The sequence below is a fragment of the Homo sapiens genome, chromosome 6 (assembly GCF_000001405.40).
Source record: "Homo sapiens chromosome 6, GRCh38.p14 Primary Assembly".
In the NCBI taxonomy this organism is placed as follows: Eukaryota; Metazoa; Chordata; class Mammalia; order Primates; family Hominidae; genus Homo; species Homo sapiens.
The window spans coordinates 119,190,510-119,206,679 of record NC_000006.12 but is presented as its reverse complement, the minus strand read 5'-3'; the positions used below and the strand labels follow the sequence as shown (position 1 = coordinate 119,206,679).

Below are 16,170 nucleotides of genomic sequence, written 5' to 3'. Positions count from 1 at the left end.
ATCCTATTTGGATGATTGGAAATTCTTTTTTATAAGCCAACTATGAAAATAAAACCTGACTCACATTCCCAGAGCCTAATAAATTTAGGGCATTTTGTAAAATAAATGAATATATCATTTTCAGATCTCTGTGTCTTATTTCTCTTTACTTTTTCTTAGATGTACTGTATATCAGTGTTTTGGAGGAAACTCTAGGTTTTGCTGTAGAAAGGAGCAGGAAGTGAGAGTGAGGCGAGCCCAGGACTGCAAGCGCCAGTAATCCTCATGGTTTCTCTCTTCCTCAGCAGCCTGGCAGCAGACGCCAGGACAGGACTGAAAGGGTTTACCCAGAGCTGTGACTGATACATGGCAAAAAACAAAGTGGGGGTGGACACCAAGAGCATTTTGATGGGGTCTACCTTAGAAAGAGAGGAAAGCAAGAATTCCACAAGCCATTAAGACCTGGCTCCAACCTGTCCTTCCAGCCTTCTCTCCCACCAACCTTCCTTTCCTCCATTCTGCAGTGTAACAGCTGCCTCTGGTTCCTGGCCAGCCCCTCTGCTCGTGTGTTCTCCCTTGCCCAGATTCTCATCATTTTTTCCTCACCAACTCGTACTTGCCCTTCAAGAATCAACTCAGGAGTCTCTTCCTTGAAGAAGTCTTCTGTGATCCATCCCCACTACGCTGGATTGTGTGTCCCAGCTTTAGATGCTCAGAGAACTCTTCACACATTTATCTCGGCATTCATCATGTGTGATTGGAACTATTTATGCTTAGTTCTTGTTCTGTCATTGCACTATTAGGTCTTTGAGAAAAAGTGATTGATTATCATAACCATGCTTGTAACCCAATGCCATGTATAGTCCTAGCAAATAGTAGGCATGCACTAAATGTGCATCTAAACTAAAAGTGTAGGATTTTAGCTATCAGAAAGGGAATTTATTAGGAGAATAACGAACTTTATTCTTTTGAATTACCACATCTTTCTTGAAGTGTTAAGTGGCTCTTCAGAAATAAACTGTACCCAAGAGTACTGCCATGTCTCAGGAGTCACTTTATGTGTATTTGTATGTATGTATGTTTATAACTTTTTTAAAAGGCCTAGTTTTTTAAAAAAGCATTTCTCCAAGAAAGGCCATGAAGCAGTAATTTCTGAAGCTCATGGCTTTCACCTTTCCAGATTTTTATAACATAATTTTGTTGAGATTCTTGATCATAGGTTATATAGAGTACAGAATGAGTTAGCACCTTAGGTAATATGCTTAGAAAAAGATAAAATAGTGTGAAGATACACGTAAGAAAGGAAGTCTGGTAAATGCAGGAAGATTTGGAGAGGGATGAAGTGAGTGTATAATTAGTGAATCTTTGAAATTTATCTTCTATCCACATAAAATTTTGTATATAATGTGAATGTCCAAAATTCCTTGGTCTCTTAGGCTGAAATTAAAATGTTGAAGAGCTTTATGTGGCATTTGGGCATGGTGGGAGTGTTTTGGTCAGATTTTCTTTTATATTCTATGTGGAATGGTTATGCATCTATATAGCACCTGTATTTTCCAAAAGATTTGTGTGTTCACCAACAGCAAGTACTCAGCAGCTTTTTTCTAAATTAAGTCAACAGTAATTTTCAATTTGGAGATAGGAGACAAACCCTAAAACTGGTAGCCAAAGAAGACAGTGCTTGGTTTTATAATATCTAGAGTGGACTATTAGCTAGGATGCCTTTTTTTAAAAGCTGTCTATTTCATGTCTGCTATTTAGATAGTGAAAAACGGAGTTAATCTGACCCATAACTCTTCGACGTCATCTCTTCTTTAGTGGTATTGGAAGGAACTGGCCCTGGGCCTCTGGAGGCAGCAGTATTCTGGCAGAATTTGGAACCCTGCATTTGGAGTTTATGCACTTGAGCCACTTATCAGGAAACCCCATCTTTGCTGAAAAGGTGAGATTCTTCAATGTGCCTTGGCCTGCAAAGCAACACTTATGAGAAACAGTATTGTCTCTGAGAAGGTTTAGGAATTTTTGAAGTGGAAATAATAACCAAATTTGTTATAGCTCTTTCTGAAGTTTTGCAACATGCAGCATTTCATTTAGCCAAACTGTAAACCTACAGCCTTTCCAGTGCACCACTCTAGTTCAGGATGTGAGGGCACAGCTTCCACCTCTGGTTCCCTTTACCTTAAGTTAGTTACTTAACTCATCTGAAGTTTGTTTCCTTATCTAAAAATATTTAGTAATAAATGCACTGCATGAGCCAACTATGTGAAAGACAGACTGAAAGTGTCGTACAAATGTGATGTTGCAGCTGAATTGGTCCCTCGTTTTCCGAAAGCAAACCAAATATTTGGATAAATTCATGTTCCCCCCATCACTCTACTTTTATTTTCAACCTGCTTTTTGGCTTCCCTTTACAGTAAAATTGCTTGAAAGAGTCGTCCCTGTTGTCTACTTTTCAAGTCTCTTGAACCTGCTCCAGTAGGACTTTTCCCCCAGCCACACCTGTCACAGTGACCAGTGAGCACAACAGTGCCAAAGCCACTTACCATTCTCCCCTTCATCTTCCTTGCCCTCTTAGCATTCGACACAGTCAGTTCTTCGTTCCTGAGATACACTTCGCGCTTGGCATGTAATACTCTCCCAGTTTGTCTCCTCTTTTGCTGGATGCTCCTTCTGTCTTTTTTGTGTCCTCCTCAACACCCCACCCTCTAAATATTGGAAAGCCCTAGCACTCAATCCTGTGCCTCTGCTTGTTGATATTCACTCCCTACATTGTTGCATCTAGTCTCTGGGCTTTACATACCATCTCTATACTCTAGACTCCAAGTTTATTATTTCAGTCCCAACCTGTCCCCTGAACTCCAGACTCTATATCTGTTTATTAAACATCTCCACTAAGAGGCCCGATAGACAAGTCCCACTTAAAATGCCTCGGACTTAACGCCTAGACGTGCTTCTCCAGTCTTTGCTATCTTGGTAAATGACATCTCACTGTACCCAGTGGTCTCCTCCTGGTTCTTCTTCTTGGTAAACCCCAGGCCCAGTCCACTAAGAAATCCTTTGGGTGTCTCACTGCCTCTACTGCTGTCCTGATCTGGGATCCATCAGGTCACCTGGTGTACTGTATGTACACCATACAGTAGCCACCTGACCACCCCTTCCTCACCCCCTCAGCCTTCTCATGACACTCAGAGTAAAATATGCCCTTATTGTGGCCTGTGGGGCCTGGGTGACCTGGGCCCTGGCTCTCCTCTCCTCTACCTGCTGACATTCTCCCCTTTGTCTCCTCACCTCTGGCCTCAGTAGCATTGCAAACCTGCTGTCTCCTCAGGGCCTTTGTACTTGCTCCTCTCTCTGTTCCGAGTGCTCTTCCTCCACATTTCCACGTGGCCTACTCCCTCACTTCTTTAATATTCTGCTCAAACACCTCCGCCTTGCCAGGCCACTCTGACTAACATGGGATAGCCTCTCCACATCACCCTGTCCCGTTAACTCTCAATCAGCTCGGGTTACCATAACAAAAATGCAGCCAGAAACAACCGAAATTTATTTCTTACAGTTCTGGAGGCTGGGAAATCCAAGATCAAACTGCCCATGAGGTAGGTTTTATTCTGAGCCTCTTCCCTGGGCTTGTAGATGACGAGAACTGTCCCAGTGTGTGTTCACATGATGTCTTCTTTGTGCTCTGAGGGAGAGAAGGAGTCACAGAGAGAGAGAGAGAGCTCTTGTGTCTCTCATGAGGGCACTAATCCCATTTAAGGCTCTACCGTCATAACCTAATTACCATCTCCAAATAAATCTCCAAATACAATCACACTGGGAAGTAGGGTTTCAGCATATGAAATTAGGGGTATGCAGTTCAATCCATAGCACCCTTTTATTTTTTTCCACAGTATTTATCATCTCCTGACATACTATACAGTTAGGTGTTACTTAACAGTGTTTATTCAACAGTGGACCACATATGTGACAGTGGTCCTGTAAGTTTATAATGGAGTTGACAAAATTCCTACGGCCTTGTGACATCATAGTTGTCATAATGTCGTAGTGCAATGCGTTACTTACATGTTTGTGGTGGTGATGGCATAAACATACTCTACTCCCAGTCACATAAAAGTATAGCACATATAATTATGTACAGTACATAATATTTGATAATTAAATGACTGCATTACTGATTTATGTACTACTATGGTTTTTATTGTTATTTTAGAATGTACCACTTTTTTTTTAAGTTAGCTCTAGAAGCAAGGTCCTTCAAGAGGTATTCCTCTTCAAGGCATTATCATCACAGGAGTTGACAGCTCCATGCGTGCTACTGCCCCTGAAAGACCTTCCAGTGCGATAAGATGTAGAAGTGGAAGACAGTGATATTGATGGTCCTGTGGAGTCCTAAGCTAATGTGTATATGTGTCTTAGTTTTTAACAAAAAGTTTAAAAAGTTAAACAACTTTAAAAAGAAATTTTAAATAGAAAAAACTTATAAGAATATAAAGAAAGAAAATATTTTGGTACAACTATACAAAGTGTGTTTTAAGCTAATGGTTATTACAAAAGAGTCAAAATTTTTTTAATTAAAAAGTTTATAAAGTAAAATTACAGTAAACTAACGTTAATTTATTATTGAAAGAAAAATACTTTTATAAATGTATTAATAATGGCTAAGTGTACCATGTTTATAAAGTTTACAGTACTATACAGTAACGTCCCAGGCCTTCACATTCACTTATTACTCACTTACTAACTCATCCACTGCAACTTCCAGTCCTGCGAGTTTCATTCATGATAAATGCCCTATACAAAGTGCCCTGTATTTATGTATAGGGTTATAAAATGTATAACCCTATAGAAAGGTATCATTTTTCATCTTTTATAGTGTATTTTTCTGTGTTTAGATACACAAATACTTCAGTACAGTAACATATGCTACACAGGTTTGTAACCTAGAAACAGTAGGCTGTGCCAACTACATTTGTGACAGTGTGCTCTATGATGTTTGTACAAGAATTAAATTGCCTGTGTTTCCCAGCATGTATCCCTGTCATTAAGGGACACATGACTAGACTTATTGATTTATTGTCTGTCCCGTCCCACTAGGATGCACAATTCTAAGAGTGTGGTGACTTTGTTTATCCACTGGCCCCTTGTTCCTAGTATGGCATCTGGCTAATGGTAGATAACTAATCAGTGTGACTATATTCACTTACTGCCATTATGTTTGTAATAATAAGCTAACAGCAGTTATCTTTGTTCTAACTCTGCATCATTTAAGTCAACTTGTATGTTCAAGAAGAAGAAGAATGGCATGAAAATTGTTTTTTAGATTTTCACGGTAACATTTTATTTTCTATTATAGGTAATGAATATTCGAACAGTACTGAACAAACTGGAAAAACCACAAGGCCTTTATCCTAACTATCTGAATCCCAGTAGTGGACAGTGGGGTCAACGTAAGTCAGAAGATTTGCATTATTATAGCTCTTTTTGGTACTGTACTCGTGGAGAGAGAGGAAGCACAAAAGCAGCACAGATTTTGTTGAGAAATGTTTAGAAAAGGAGAAAAGGGCATGGCTCCTTTAATAAACAGGCTTCTGTCATCAGATTGTGTTATTAGGACACTGGATTGTGTATTTTTCATATATAACTCCAAGTGTGATGACATATAAGCACATTTACAGCTATTAATCAGAAAGGGAAGATCTGGCCAGAGTAGTGTGGGGATGTTAATCTGTAACAAGCTGGTCATGTGGATAGAAAGGAAATTCATTCCTTTGTACTAATGACTATGAGGGTTTTATAGAGAGTAGGTAGACCATTCTGCTTCCTAACATTCTGTTTCTGCATGGCTATATAATGAGAGAGGAGCCTGAATTTTTAAGAGTTGGGAAATTGGAAGAGCAAACAGCCTGTTTTTCTCTTCTTAATTTTAAGCTGCCAGATATAAAGGTTTCTTGCCAGTAGAATTACCTTTAGGATGGGAGAAAGTATTGCACAAGAACTTTTGATCCTAGAAGCCTGCACTTAAGACTCTTCAGACGATTTTGAGCAGGGGCATAAAGATTCAGAGTAGTTGAAAGAAATGTTCTCAAGCTGATTTGGAAAAACAGTAGTAGATTAAATAGCTGAAAACAAGTGAAGAATATTGAGATACCCAACTGTAGCAAGAGTACACTGCCTTAAGATTTTACTCTAATTTGGGTTTTTTCTTTATATTTTAATATCATGTTCTTAGATACCTCATTATTACTTTAGAAGTACTTTTCTTAAAGAATAGTTTAATAGGAAAGTATATGCCAAAATCCATATGCTAAAATATGTCTGTAGCTCTGGAAGGCCTAGCTGTTGAAACCTTAGGACTATAATCAAGGTTACCACTTACCTAAGTGTGGTCAACAGATCACTGGAAGTCCTTGAGACCTCTGAGGAGGCCCACAAGGTCAAAAATATTTTTATTATAATACTAGTATAATGATATATAATAACAAGACATATAATACATGTCTTAGTCATATTTACTAAGCCAGTACACAGTATCTTGCACTTAGTGGATGTTTACTTACTTAAATTTTGTGAATACATATGTGCTCTGTATCTCATCTCTCTTTCTGCCTCTGCTTTTAATAGTGGTACTTTGAAAGACTTTCTGCCTTTTCTAATGTGTTGATATTTACACCTACAGTGTTAGGTGATACTGCTGAAGCCTCACTGAGAACAAAGGCGAACAAACACCAAATAGTACTAATATTCATATTTTTTCTTTTTTTTTTCTTTTTTGTGGGACAGGGTCCCACTGTGTCACCCAGGCTGGAGTACAGTGTCATAATCTCAGCTCATTGCAACCTCTGCCTCCTGGGCTCAAGCTGGGCTCAAGCTATCTTCCCACCTCGGCCCCCCGCCCCGAGTAGCTGGGACTACAGGTGCACGATGCCATGCTCAGCCAATTTTTAATTTTTTTTTTTTTTGGTAGAGAGAAGGTCTCATATTTCCCAGGCTGGCCTCAAACTTTTAGGCTTGAGCGATCCCTTTGCCTTGGCCTCCCAAAGTGTTGGGATTACAGGCATGAGCCACCACACCAGCCCCCATTGTATTCTTAATAGCATTTTAAAAAAGGATACTGGTTTCACTTATGAATGTGCTTACTGAAACAGTAAAAAAAAAAAATTAGTGATTCTAATAAATACCAACCTGTGAGTACACACCTTTGTCATGTTCTGTGAGGTGAAATGGAAAATACTCATAAATCACTCCTGCTGAATTATGAAAAATGATAGTTGCATCAAGGAAAAGCTCTTGGGTGTTTTGAGTTGCAAGCTGAGCTAGCCACTTACTGTTTCACAGATTCAACATTTTTACTTGAAAGAACAATTTAAAAAATGATTATTTAGGCTAGGTAGTCAGGAGCCATGTTCTTGAAAATGAGCTTGTCACTTCAAGAAAAAGTCACAGTATTTGTGCCAATGATTATAATCCAAGTTTCTAAATAAAAAATAGAATTTTGGAAAACTTGTACATGCTACCATGAGCTTGACACAAATACTTTTCCTGTTAGATTGATGATGATATTAACAAATGTGGTTTTCTGATATTGTATAATGGAATGGGTCAATATTTGAAAGATCTGCATAGTTCAGTGAGCCAGGATTTTCCAAATGACCAAAGCATGATATTATAAGATCATATATGGAAAACAATCTGTGTAAAGTACAAGATAGACCAGTGGCTTTTAATGTAACAATACGAAAATTCATTGATGTAATTTCTAATTTTACAATGCAATTAACCTTTAAAAAAGAAACCACTTGTTGACTATTGTTGTAATATCAAAGAAAAATATCCACAATTGTGTGAAAAGCCTGTTAAAATATCCTTTCTTTTTCTGACTGTATTACTGTGTGAGGCTGACTTGTCTTGATGTATTACAGCCAAAACAACATATAGCAAAGGATTGAAAGTAGGGCAGACATGAGTATCCAGCTGTCTCCTGTCAAGGCAAACAAGAAAGAGATATGCAAAAATGTGAAATTGTGTCAGTCTTCTCACTAATTTTTTGTTTTGTTTTGTAAAATATAACTTTTTTGAAAAATTGTATATGTTAACATAATGGGCATGTAATTATTATTTTAAACGAGGTAACGAAAATATTTTTAAATTATTTTAATTTTCCAATGTAGTAAATATAGGTATTATTTACATAAATTATTTGGGGTGTCCATTTCTTTTGAAGATTACAAAAGGGTGCTGAGACTCAACAGTTTGAGGGCCACCAGAGGACTAGGGATAAAACAACTTGTGTATATTTCTGTTTTGTTGTTTGAGATGGGAGTCTCGCTCTGTCACCCAGGCTGGAGTGCAGTGGCACAGCCTCAGCTCACTGCAACCTCCCTGTCCCATGCTCAAGCAATTCTCCTGCCTCAGCCTCCCGAGTAGCTGGGACTACAGGCATGTACCACCACACCCAGCTAATTTTTGTATTTTTAGTAGAGATGGGGGTTTCACCATGTTGTCCAGGCTGGTCTCGAACTCCTGACCTCAGGTGATCCGCCCACCTTGGCCTCCCAAAGTGCTGGAATTACAGGCGTGAGCCACGCTCCTGGCCCTTGTATATTTTTCTAAGTATAAGGTGACAGGATGTGATTCTCTAAAAGCACAAGCATTTTTGGAGTATTCCTCACCACACATTTCAAAAGCTGAAGAAAAGTCTCCTTCATTTACTGTTTCCTTCCTATGATTTAGGATTTAGAAGCTGCTATGAAGGGGGACAGAAGGAGCCAGTTGTACTGGAACATCTCCGCTTCACCTTCTGGGTCACCTGTATGCTATGTATTTGGCCATGTTTCCTAGTACAAAGAGCCCTTTATATTTAGATTCCTTATGGGCCAATTTCCTGATGGAAAAAAAAAACAAAAAACAAAACAGGATTGATGAGTCTTAGCTCTCTCTCCTGCCCCAACCCCCATTCTGTGTTCTAGCCAGAGGAAAACACACTTATTTTTTTATTCTTCAATCGAGGCCTGCTTGGCCATGTTCAGGTCTTTGCTTGTGCCATTTCCTTAGCCCTCCCACCTCTCAAGACCCAGCTCAATTGCCATTTCTTCCAGGATCCCCTCTTCAGTGCTCCGGTTGGGATTTATTAGCATCCACTTTTCCTCTATTCTTTCCCTGCCCCAGCGCTTTGAGTGCTTTCCTATCACAAACCTTTTCCTGATGATTCACATCCATATGCATCTTCCTAAGGATCCAAAGCTTTTGCGGGTAGTAACCATGTCTTAGTCATATTTACTAAGCCAGTACACAGTGTCTTGCACCTAGTAGGTGTTTACTTACTTGAATTTTGTGAATACATATGTGCTCTGTATCTGATCTATCTTTTTGCCCCTTACCTTTTTTTTTTTTTCTTTTTTGGAGACGGAGTCTTACTTTGTCGCCCAGGGTAGTGTGCAGTGGTGCAGTCTCAGCTCCCTCCACCTGCCAGGTTCAAGCGATTCTCCTGCATCAGCCTCCCAAGTAGCTGGGATTACAGGTGCCCGCCCCTACACCAGGGTAACTTTTGTATCTTTAGTAGAGATGAGTTTTCACCATGTTGGCCAGGCTGATCTCAAACTCCTGACCTCAGGTGATCCGCCCTCCCCGGCCTCCCAATGTTCTGGGATTACAGGTGTGAAACACCACGCTGGACCTGCCTCTGCTTTTAATGGTTGTTCTGCTTGTTCTCTTTTAGCAGTTGCCCCTGCTCCTCAGTTGTGGCTGAAAGGCAGTATCCGGTCCTGGTCACTGATAATATGAACTGATCTTGTTACTATTGAGGCCAGATGGCAGGGTTTCCTGTCTGTACACAGAGTATTTATCATCCCTTGATTTCTATAACAGCCATCCATCTATCTATATCTAGTCTAGCTAGCTATGTGTAGTGTCACTAGCATCATTGGGGGATTGTTTCAAAGAGAGAAATTCAGATGAAGTCAACAAAAATTTTAAAAGGGAGATATTGAGTATTTTAATTCTTCTTTGTCTTGATTCTTTTGCTACTTGCTTTTTCTCTTTTTTAGATATTAGAAATCCTTTTATGGGACCTATTCTTATGAAGAAAAGAATAAATTACTCCTTCAGAGAAGAGCGTAATATTTGACTGACTACAGTACACCTCACCTTTAGAGCAGTTGGACATAAAAATACCATATTATGTTATTTCCAGAAGTAGGTTGATCCTTTCCTGCTGATAAATTCGGGCCTGCTCTCCCCGACATCCACTAAGATGTTTACACAGGACTGTGTTGACAAACAGCCATCCAGGCCTGAAGGAAGCTTAGTGAGTGACATGCTAAATTAATGAGAAGACCTGTTTCTCTTCTACGTTCCTTTGTCTTGTTTTTTTTTTTTTAATGTGAAATTTTTATAGGCAGGAAATTTTAAAAATAGAAAACTAGCACTTACCAAAATTAATTAAAACAAATGTATTCTTATATAACACTTTTTTCTTTTTTAAAAAAAATCCCCAGCTGCTCAAACTTGCTTCTTCCGTCTATTAGAAAATCATAACCCAAGGGGAGGAAAACATCAAGCTGCTTCTGGCCATTGGTTTTCAGCTCTCATTGCTTTAACTCCAAATGACACGTCTGGATCCTGGCCATCATTTCCTATCACTTCATCGAGTCAGTGTTGTTTTGACAATGCCAAACCATGATTTGCTTTTCCACGCATCACTTGCATGTGTCTCCTACAATCATGTTGATAACAACAGGGCTTATTATTGATGAGTTCGTACTTAGTCTATTTAGTTTGTAAATGTCAGAGGTTTCTGTGTTGATTTAGGAAACTGTAAAGGTCACTTCAAGAATCAGACTTAGAATTTTTAAAATATATTTTTACACTAAAATTTAAACTATAATTCTACACTTTCTGCAAAAAGAAAATCACATACTTAACTACTTTAAAACATGGCTCTTTAGCTTGAGTAGTTACAGCCCTTTATTAAGGTTGACATAGAAGAATTTTGCTTTGTTCGTCAGTTATTTGTTGAGTACCTACCATGTGCAAGACACTTTCCAGGGGCTGGGGTGGACTGGGAAACATAATAGGTCTGGTCTCTGCCCTCTTGGTTCATAATCTTGTGGAGGAGACAGAAGAAAATGTTACCACATTATGAAATTACAGGTGATAAGTGTGTGCTACCAAAAAGTGTGTGACAAAGGAACCTAGTGGCATTGTCAGAGAACACTCCTTTGAGGAAGTGTCATTTGGTCCCAGATACGAAGTATGAGTAAGAACTACTAAAGAAGGGGAAGGGGGTCCTAGGGTCCATTTCAGGCAGAGAGAACAAGGCCTATAGAAGCCCTGCCTGAGATGAGATGGAACCTGATGTTTTTGAGGAGCCAAAAGAAGGGCTTTATAGCAAGTGAGCAGAGAGCAAGTGGAGCAAGACTGAATGGCATAGAGAAGATTGAGATCTTGCATGGCACCAAACACACAGGATTGAAAGGCTTCGAGTAAAGGGTGATCTCATTCATGTATTAAGAGGGCTATTCTGGCATTAATGTGGGGAATAGATTGAAGGGGCACTGTCATTAGAACTCTGGGCCAGGCGCAGTGCCTCATGTCTGTAATCCCAGCACTTTTGGGAGGCTGAGGCAGGCAGATCATCAGGTCAGGAGTTCAAAACCAGCCTGGCCAACATGGTGAAACCCCGTCTCTACTAAAAATACAAAAATTAGCCAGGTGTGGTGGTGGGCTCCTGTAATCCCAGCTACTCGGGAGGCTGAGGCAGGAGAATAGCTTGAACCTGGGAGGCGGAGGTTGCCATGAGCCGAGATCGCACCATTGCACTCCAGCCTGGTGACAGAGCAAGACTCCGTCTCAAAAAAAAAAAAGAAAAAAAATGAAGATACCTATCCTACAGTTGTGAGATTGTTGATAATACGTGTAGTGGATCTGGCATGATAAATGGCAGTGAAGGTGGACTATAGGAATGGAGTATTAGGAGGAAAAACTTCTTCTTCTGCCCCATATCCTTTCTGACTGCCCCTGTCCCATAGGTATTTGACCCTTCAGATTCATAGCACTAGAAAATTTATCAAATAATAATAGGCTGAGCACAGTGGTTCATGCCTGTAATCCCTCTTCTGTGAGAGGCCCAGGTGGGAGGATTGCTTGAGGCCAGGAGTTGTATATCAGCTGAGGCAACATAGCAAGATGCCGTCTCTACAAAAAATTTAAAAATGAGCCTGGCGTGGTGATGCGTGCCTGTAGTCCCAGCCACTTGGGAGGCTGAAGCAGGAGGATCACTTGAGCTCGGGAGTTCGAGGTTATAGTGAGCTATCATCGTGCCTCTGCACTCCAGCCTGGGTGACAGAGTGAGTTTAGAAATAATAATAATGGCAAGAACCTGAGGAGCTTCTTGTTTTATTTATTACAAACCACCTTCTAAAAAAGATTTGCTAATACTCATAGCTTTGCCAGAATTTTATATTATTCAGAACTAAAGCAAATAAAAATGTATTTAAATATATACTGTGAACATTTTAGTTGGGTGTTTTTCACTAGAGAACCAGATTTTTAGAATTAGGGGTAATTACATATCTTTTATCTTCCATGTTTACAAAACTACTCTGGTAATTATTTAGAGTATGTTACATTAGTTAATAGCCCATCTGCTCATTTCAGAATATCTTTCTGAAAATAAGAGATTTGTTGGAATTTAAATGTAACAGTGACTTGCAGTTGACATAGGGTTGCATCCTAGTTGCTAATGTGATTTTGCTGCATTATCTGAATTAAAAGCTGAATCACTCTAAAATTCATTTCCCTCTCTTTCCAGATCATGTATCAGTTGGAGGACTTGGAGACAGCTTCTATGAGTATTTGCTGAAGGCCTGGTTAATGTCTGACAAGACAGATCTGGAAGCTAAGAAGATGTATTTTGATGCTGTTCAGGTAACCCAATATTTAAATCATCTTTGCCACTCAGCCCTAACTTATAATTTGTATATTAATCAAGTTTTAATGAATAAGTGGTATACTACATGAGTGAGTTACAAAGTATTTCCAATTAGGTAGAGTTCGATATCTGCTAATATCATCGTAATAATGGTAATCATATTTGATGTTTATTTCTAATAGGGCCGTTAAAGTTTTTGCATGGTTTAAACCTCAGTTAAGAGTCACATATCTGAAAAAGTAGTATTCTTTGATAAATATGAATTCTCTCCTTAGGACCACAATTTAAATTATGCAGGGGGAAATCCTGAATTTGTATTCTGACAATTGCCTAAGTTAAAATTGCCTGAGAAGACAGACAGTCCCAATGGCTACCTCCATGTGAAGTAAACTTGTCCCCAGAGATAAATGGACAGTACTCTAAGGAAATCCACACATAAAAATCTGAACAAACTCATATTTCAGGGAAGATCATTAATAGTATCAAAGATTCTTTACAGTGGAGAAGTAAGAGGCAACAGTTGAGTGTTGAATTGCCTACCATGTGCTAAGCTGTGTGTTAGGTAGCTCCTTTAAATGAAGCGGTGGAGTTGGGTTTTTTTCTCTCTCACAGTACTTGAGATTATTACCCAGTTTTACAGATAAAGTTGCTGTACCTCAGAGAGATTACATGTCGAACCAAAATTAAGATTAAAGTTTGTCTATATCAGCACCTGTTCCTTTTAACTCATCCACTGTGGATTTATTTGTAAGAATTTCCATTCTACACTTAAATCTTCATTTACTAATTTGCAAGCAGTAAGTTAGTAAGGTAAGTTAGAAACTACTTAAAGTCTCTAGGAGGAGGCTAGTATAAAAGTAAACTAAGAAACACCTCCAGTTAAGCCTCAATCAAAACCGAAAATAAAGTTAGAAAGTAAATAAAGTTAGAAAGAAAATTACTTTATCTAAAATATTTGTACTCTTCAGGAACAAAATTTTTTAGTGGAATCAGGTGCTTTTGCGATTAAGTATTTTATGTGGTAATACATATATTCTTTTAATATTATTATCAAGGCTTCTCAAGTAGTGTTGTAAAATAGTGGCTCAGTCCTCAGAAAAATTTTATTTTTCTTGACAGCTTAGAAATTTTTTAATAAAGTGTTAATTCATAGGAAAAAAATGGAAATTTGTAATCCCAAAGATGTAGCCATTATAAAATTGGTCTTTCTAACAAGAGGTCTGGGTTATTTTGACATAGGCGTACTTTTTTATTTAAATATAAATGCAGCTTGCTTTGTTCTGGTTAACTACACTGAGTATGACATTGGTTTCCTTTACAAGTCTTCACTACTTCACATGTAGGAACCAGAAGCGCCTTAGTGAGAACGTTGGCCTACATTTGGCACAGCCTTTATAAAGGCACATGATTAACATCAAAAGCAAACTAGGATATGATCCACATGGCCTCTTTTAGGTTTATTTTTCCTCATTGCTGTGAGGTTTCAGATTTTAACCTGGGGAGTTCTCCATATTTTATAGTTTCCATTCTGTCATCCTCTAATTACCATACTGGCAGACATTTTAATTATTCTAATCTTAAATTGGCCGTCTAAGATCTTGATGTTCAAAAAAAGACAGCTTTAAAATATTATTTGAAATATTTTCTTCCTAATTCCTAAAACCATACCCACACAACTTTTAGTATATTGTATTCAGACAAATCATTGACAGGAAAATCCATTAAGAACAAATGAAGTCAAAGTGTTTCCTGCTTCTCTTAGTAGTAAAAGCTAATTTTCAATCCACTGTATATTTTCAACTTAGAAAGCAAAGCTAGAACAACTAAATTTCTGTTTTGAGAAGTAGCATTGTCTTATACAGCAAAGTTTATTTCTGCTAAGTTGTACTTTAGAAGATTATTGTAACCAAGGGGAGGATGCTGTACACTATTGTTCTGGACAATTGATTACTGAAGATATGGCTACTCTGTTGTAGCTTCAAGTAGATTTTGGGAAGCATTTAATCCCAGAGTGATATGTTTTATTTGATTATTTTAATAACAAAATATTTTGAGCTTTCAACTGGCTATCATGGCCCTATCTGGAGACTACACTAGGAACTCACAATGGCAAATGATACCTGGGCAGAAGACATATCAGACACTTACGATTCTGAAGGCTTCATCAAACCAGTTTTTTAAATCAATTATACAAGGATTAAATCACAAAATATATAGTACTCTTTTTTCTAATCAATTATCTGTATCCTTGACACAGTTTTTTCAGATCTACTAAAGACTATCCTTCTTTGTATTTATTTATATTTCCCATGGCCACACAAAATTATTGCTTTGAAGGTCTTGGAATTTCATTGTAGTTTTTATTAGGAGGTAGCAACTTGGTCCGAATCATGCCAGAAATACTTTATTTAGGATCCATAACAGGGTAATAATGTTTCTCTAATTCATCCTCAAAAGCTACTACTCTTGCCATGTAGAAAGAATAATTTCTTAGGTGATGAACAAGTATCTGCTTGAAGGACTTTATTGCAATTTGTGTTATGAGAAGTATAAATAGCTAAGATGTTCAGTCGCATAAAATAAGAATGAAATATTAATGTAATAACTAAACCATCAATAACATTAGCTTAACCACGGTTAATGAGCACAGTAATATGTTCATTTATTTCTTACCATCTTGGTTTCATTCGTTTATTTCTAATAAAGGTAGGAAAGGTTTTAGCTTCCTGTGTGTTCATTTTCATTCATTCTTCTCTATCACAAGTTTTTTTCTGTGTCTATTATTCCCAAATGTGCTTCCTAACAAATCCCTCTCTCTTGATAGCAGTGTACAGGTATAGACACAGTCATGTCCTTTTTCCTTCCATGAAGTAATTGTGGGGCAGTGGGGAGAACATTTTCTGTTAGAGTAATTGGAGATTAGCAATGCCAAACACACTTTATTTTTGCTTTTTAAAATATAAGGCATATTTTACTTACCTGTCTAGTTTAAGAGAATATCAACAGACCTGGGATAGAAATAAAAGATGTTTTATAAATCATTTTTGTAAACATTATCATTTCTCCCAAATTTAAAGATTTTTCTGATTTTTAAAATATATACATTTATTCATTATATAATAGTGTGCTTTTTAATAGAAGTATTAGAGAGGAACTTGATTCAAGCGTCACCACTTTGGAGATGTAAATGATAATTATAAATGACTCTTATCAAGTGCCACTTGCATTAGTGACTGCTTTATAAACAAAATGTGGCAGAGTCG

The 16,170-nt window shown here is 38.1% G+C and overlaps 1 protein-coding gene across 4 annotated transcripts in view, besides 1 other annotated feature; it reads left to right on the top strand.

The window, feature by feature from the left end:
• Positions 1-16,170, top strand: part of MAN1A1 (mannosidase alpha class 1A member 1) — a 173,401-nt gene that overhangs the window by 143,926 nt on the left and 13,305 nt on the right. For 3 of the 4 annotated variants that reach the window (XM_005266986.5, NM_005907.4, XM_011535833.3), the window contains 3 exons: positions 1,798-1,921; positions 5,333-5,426; positions 12,788-12,903. In XM_005266986.5, coding sequence (XP_005267043.1) covers positions 1,798-1,921; positions 5,333-5,426; positions 12,788-12,903 — 334 coding nt within the window. Of the gene's footprint in view, positions 1-1,797; positions 1,922-5,332; positions 5,427-12,787; positions 12,904-16,170 lie in introns of those variants that run through there. The other variant, XM_047418775.1, reaches the window with a different exon arrangement.
• Positions 303-372: a silencer, noted in NCBI's record as "silent region_17509". NCBI's record gives its function as "represses an Ori minimal core promoter by ATAC-STARR-seq in GM12878 lymphoblastoid cells {active_cell/tissue: GM12878}" and the evidence as "EXISTENCE:reporter gene assay evidence [ECO:0000049][PMID:35858748]".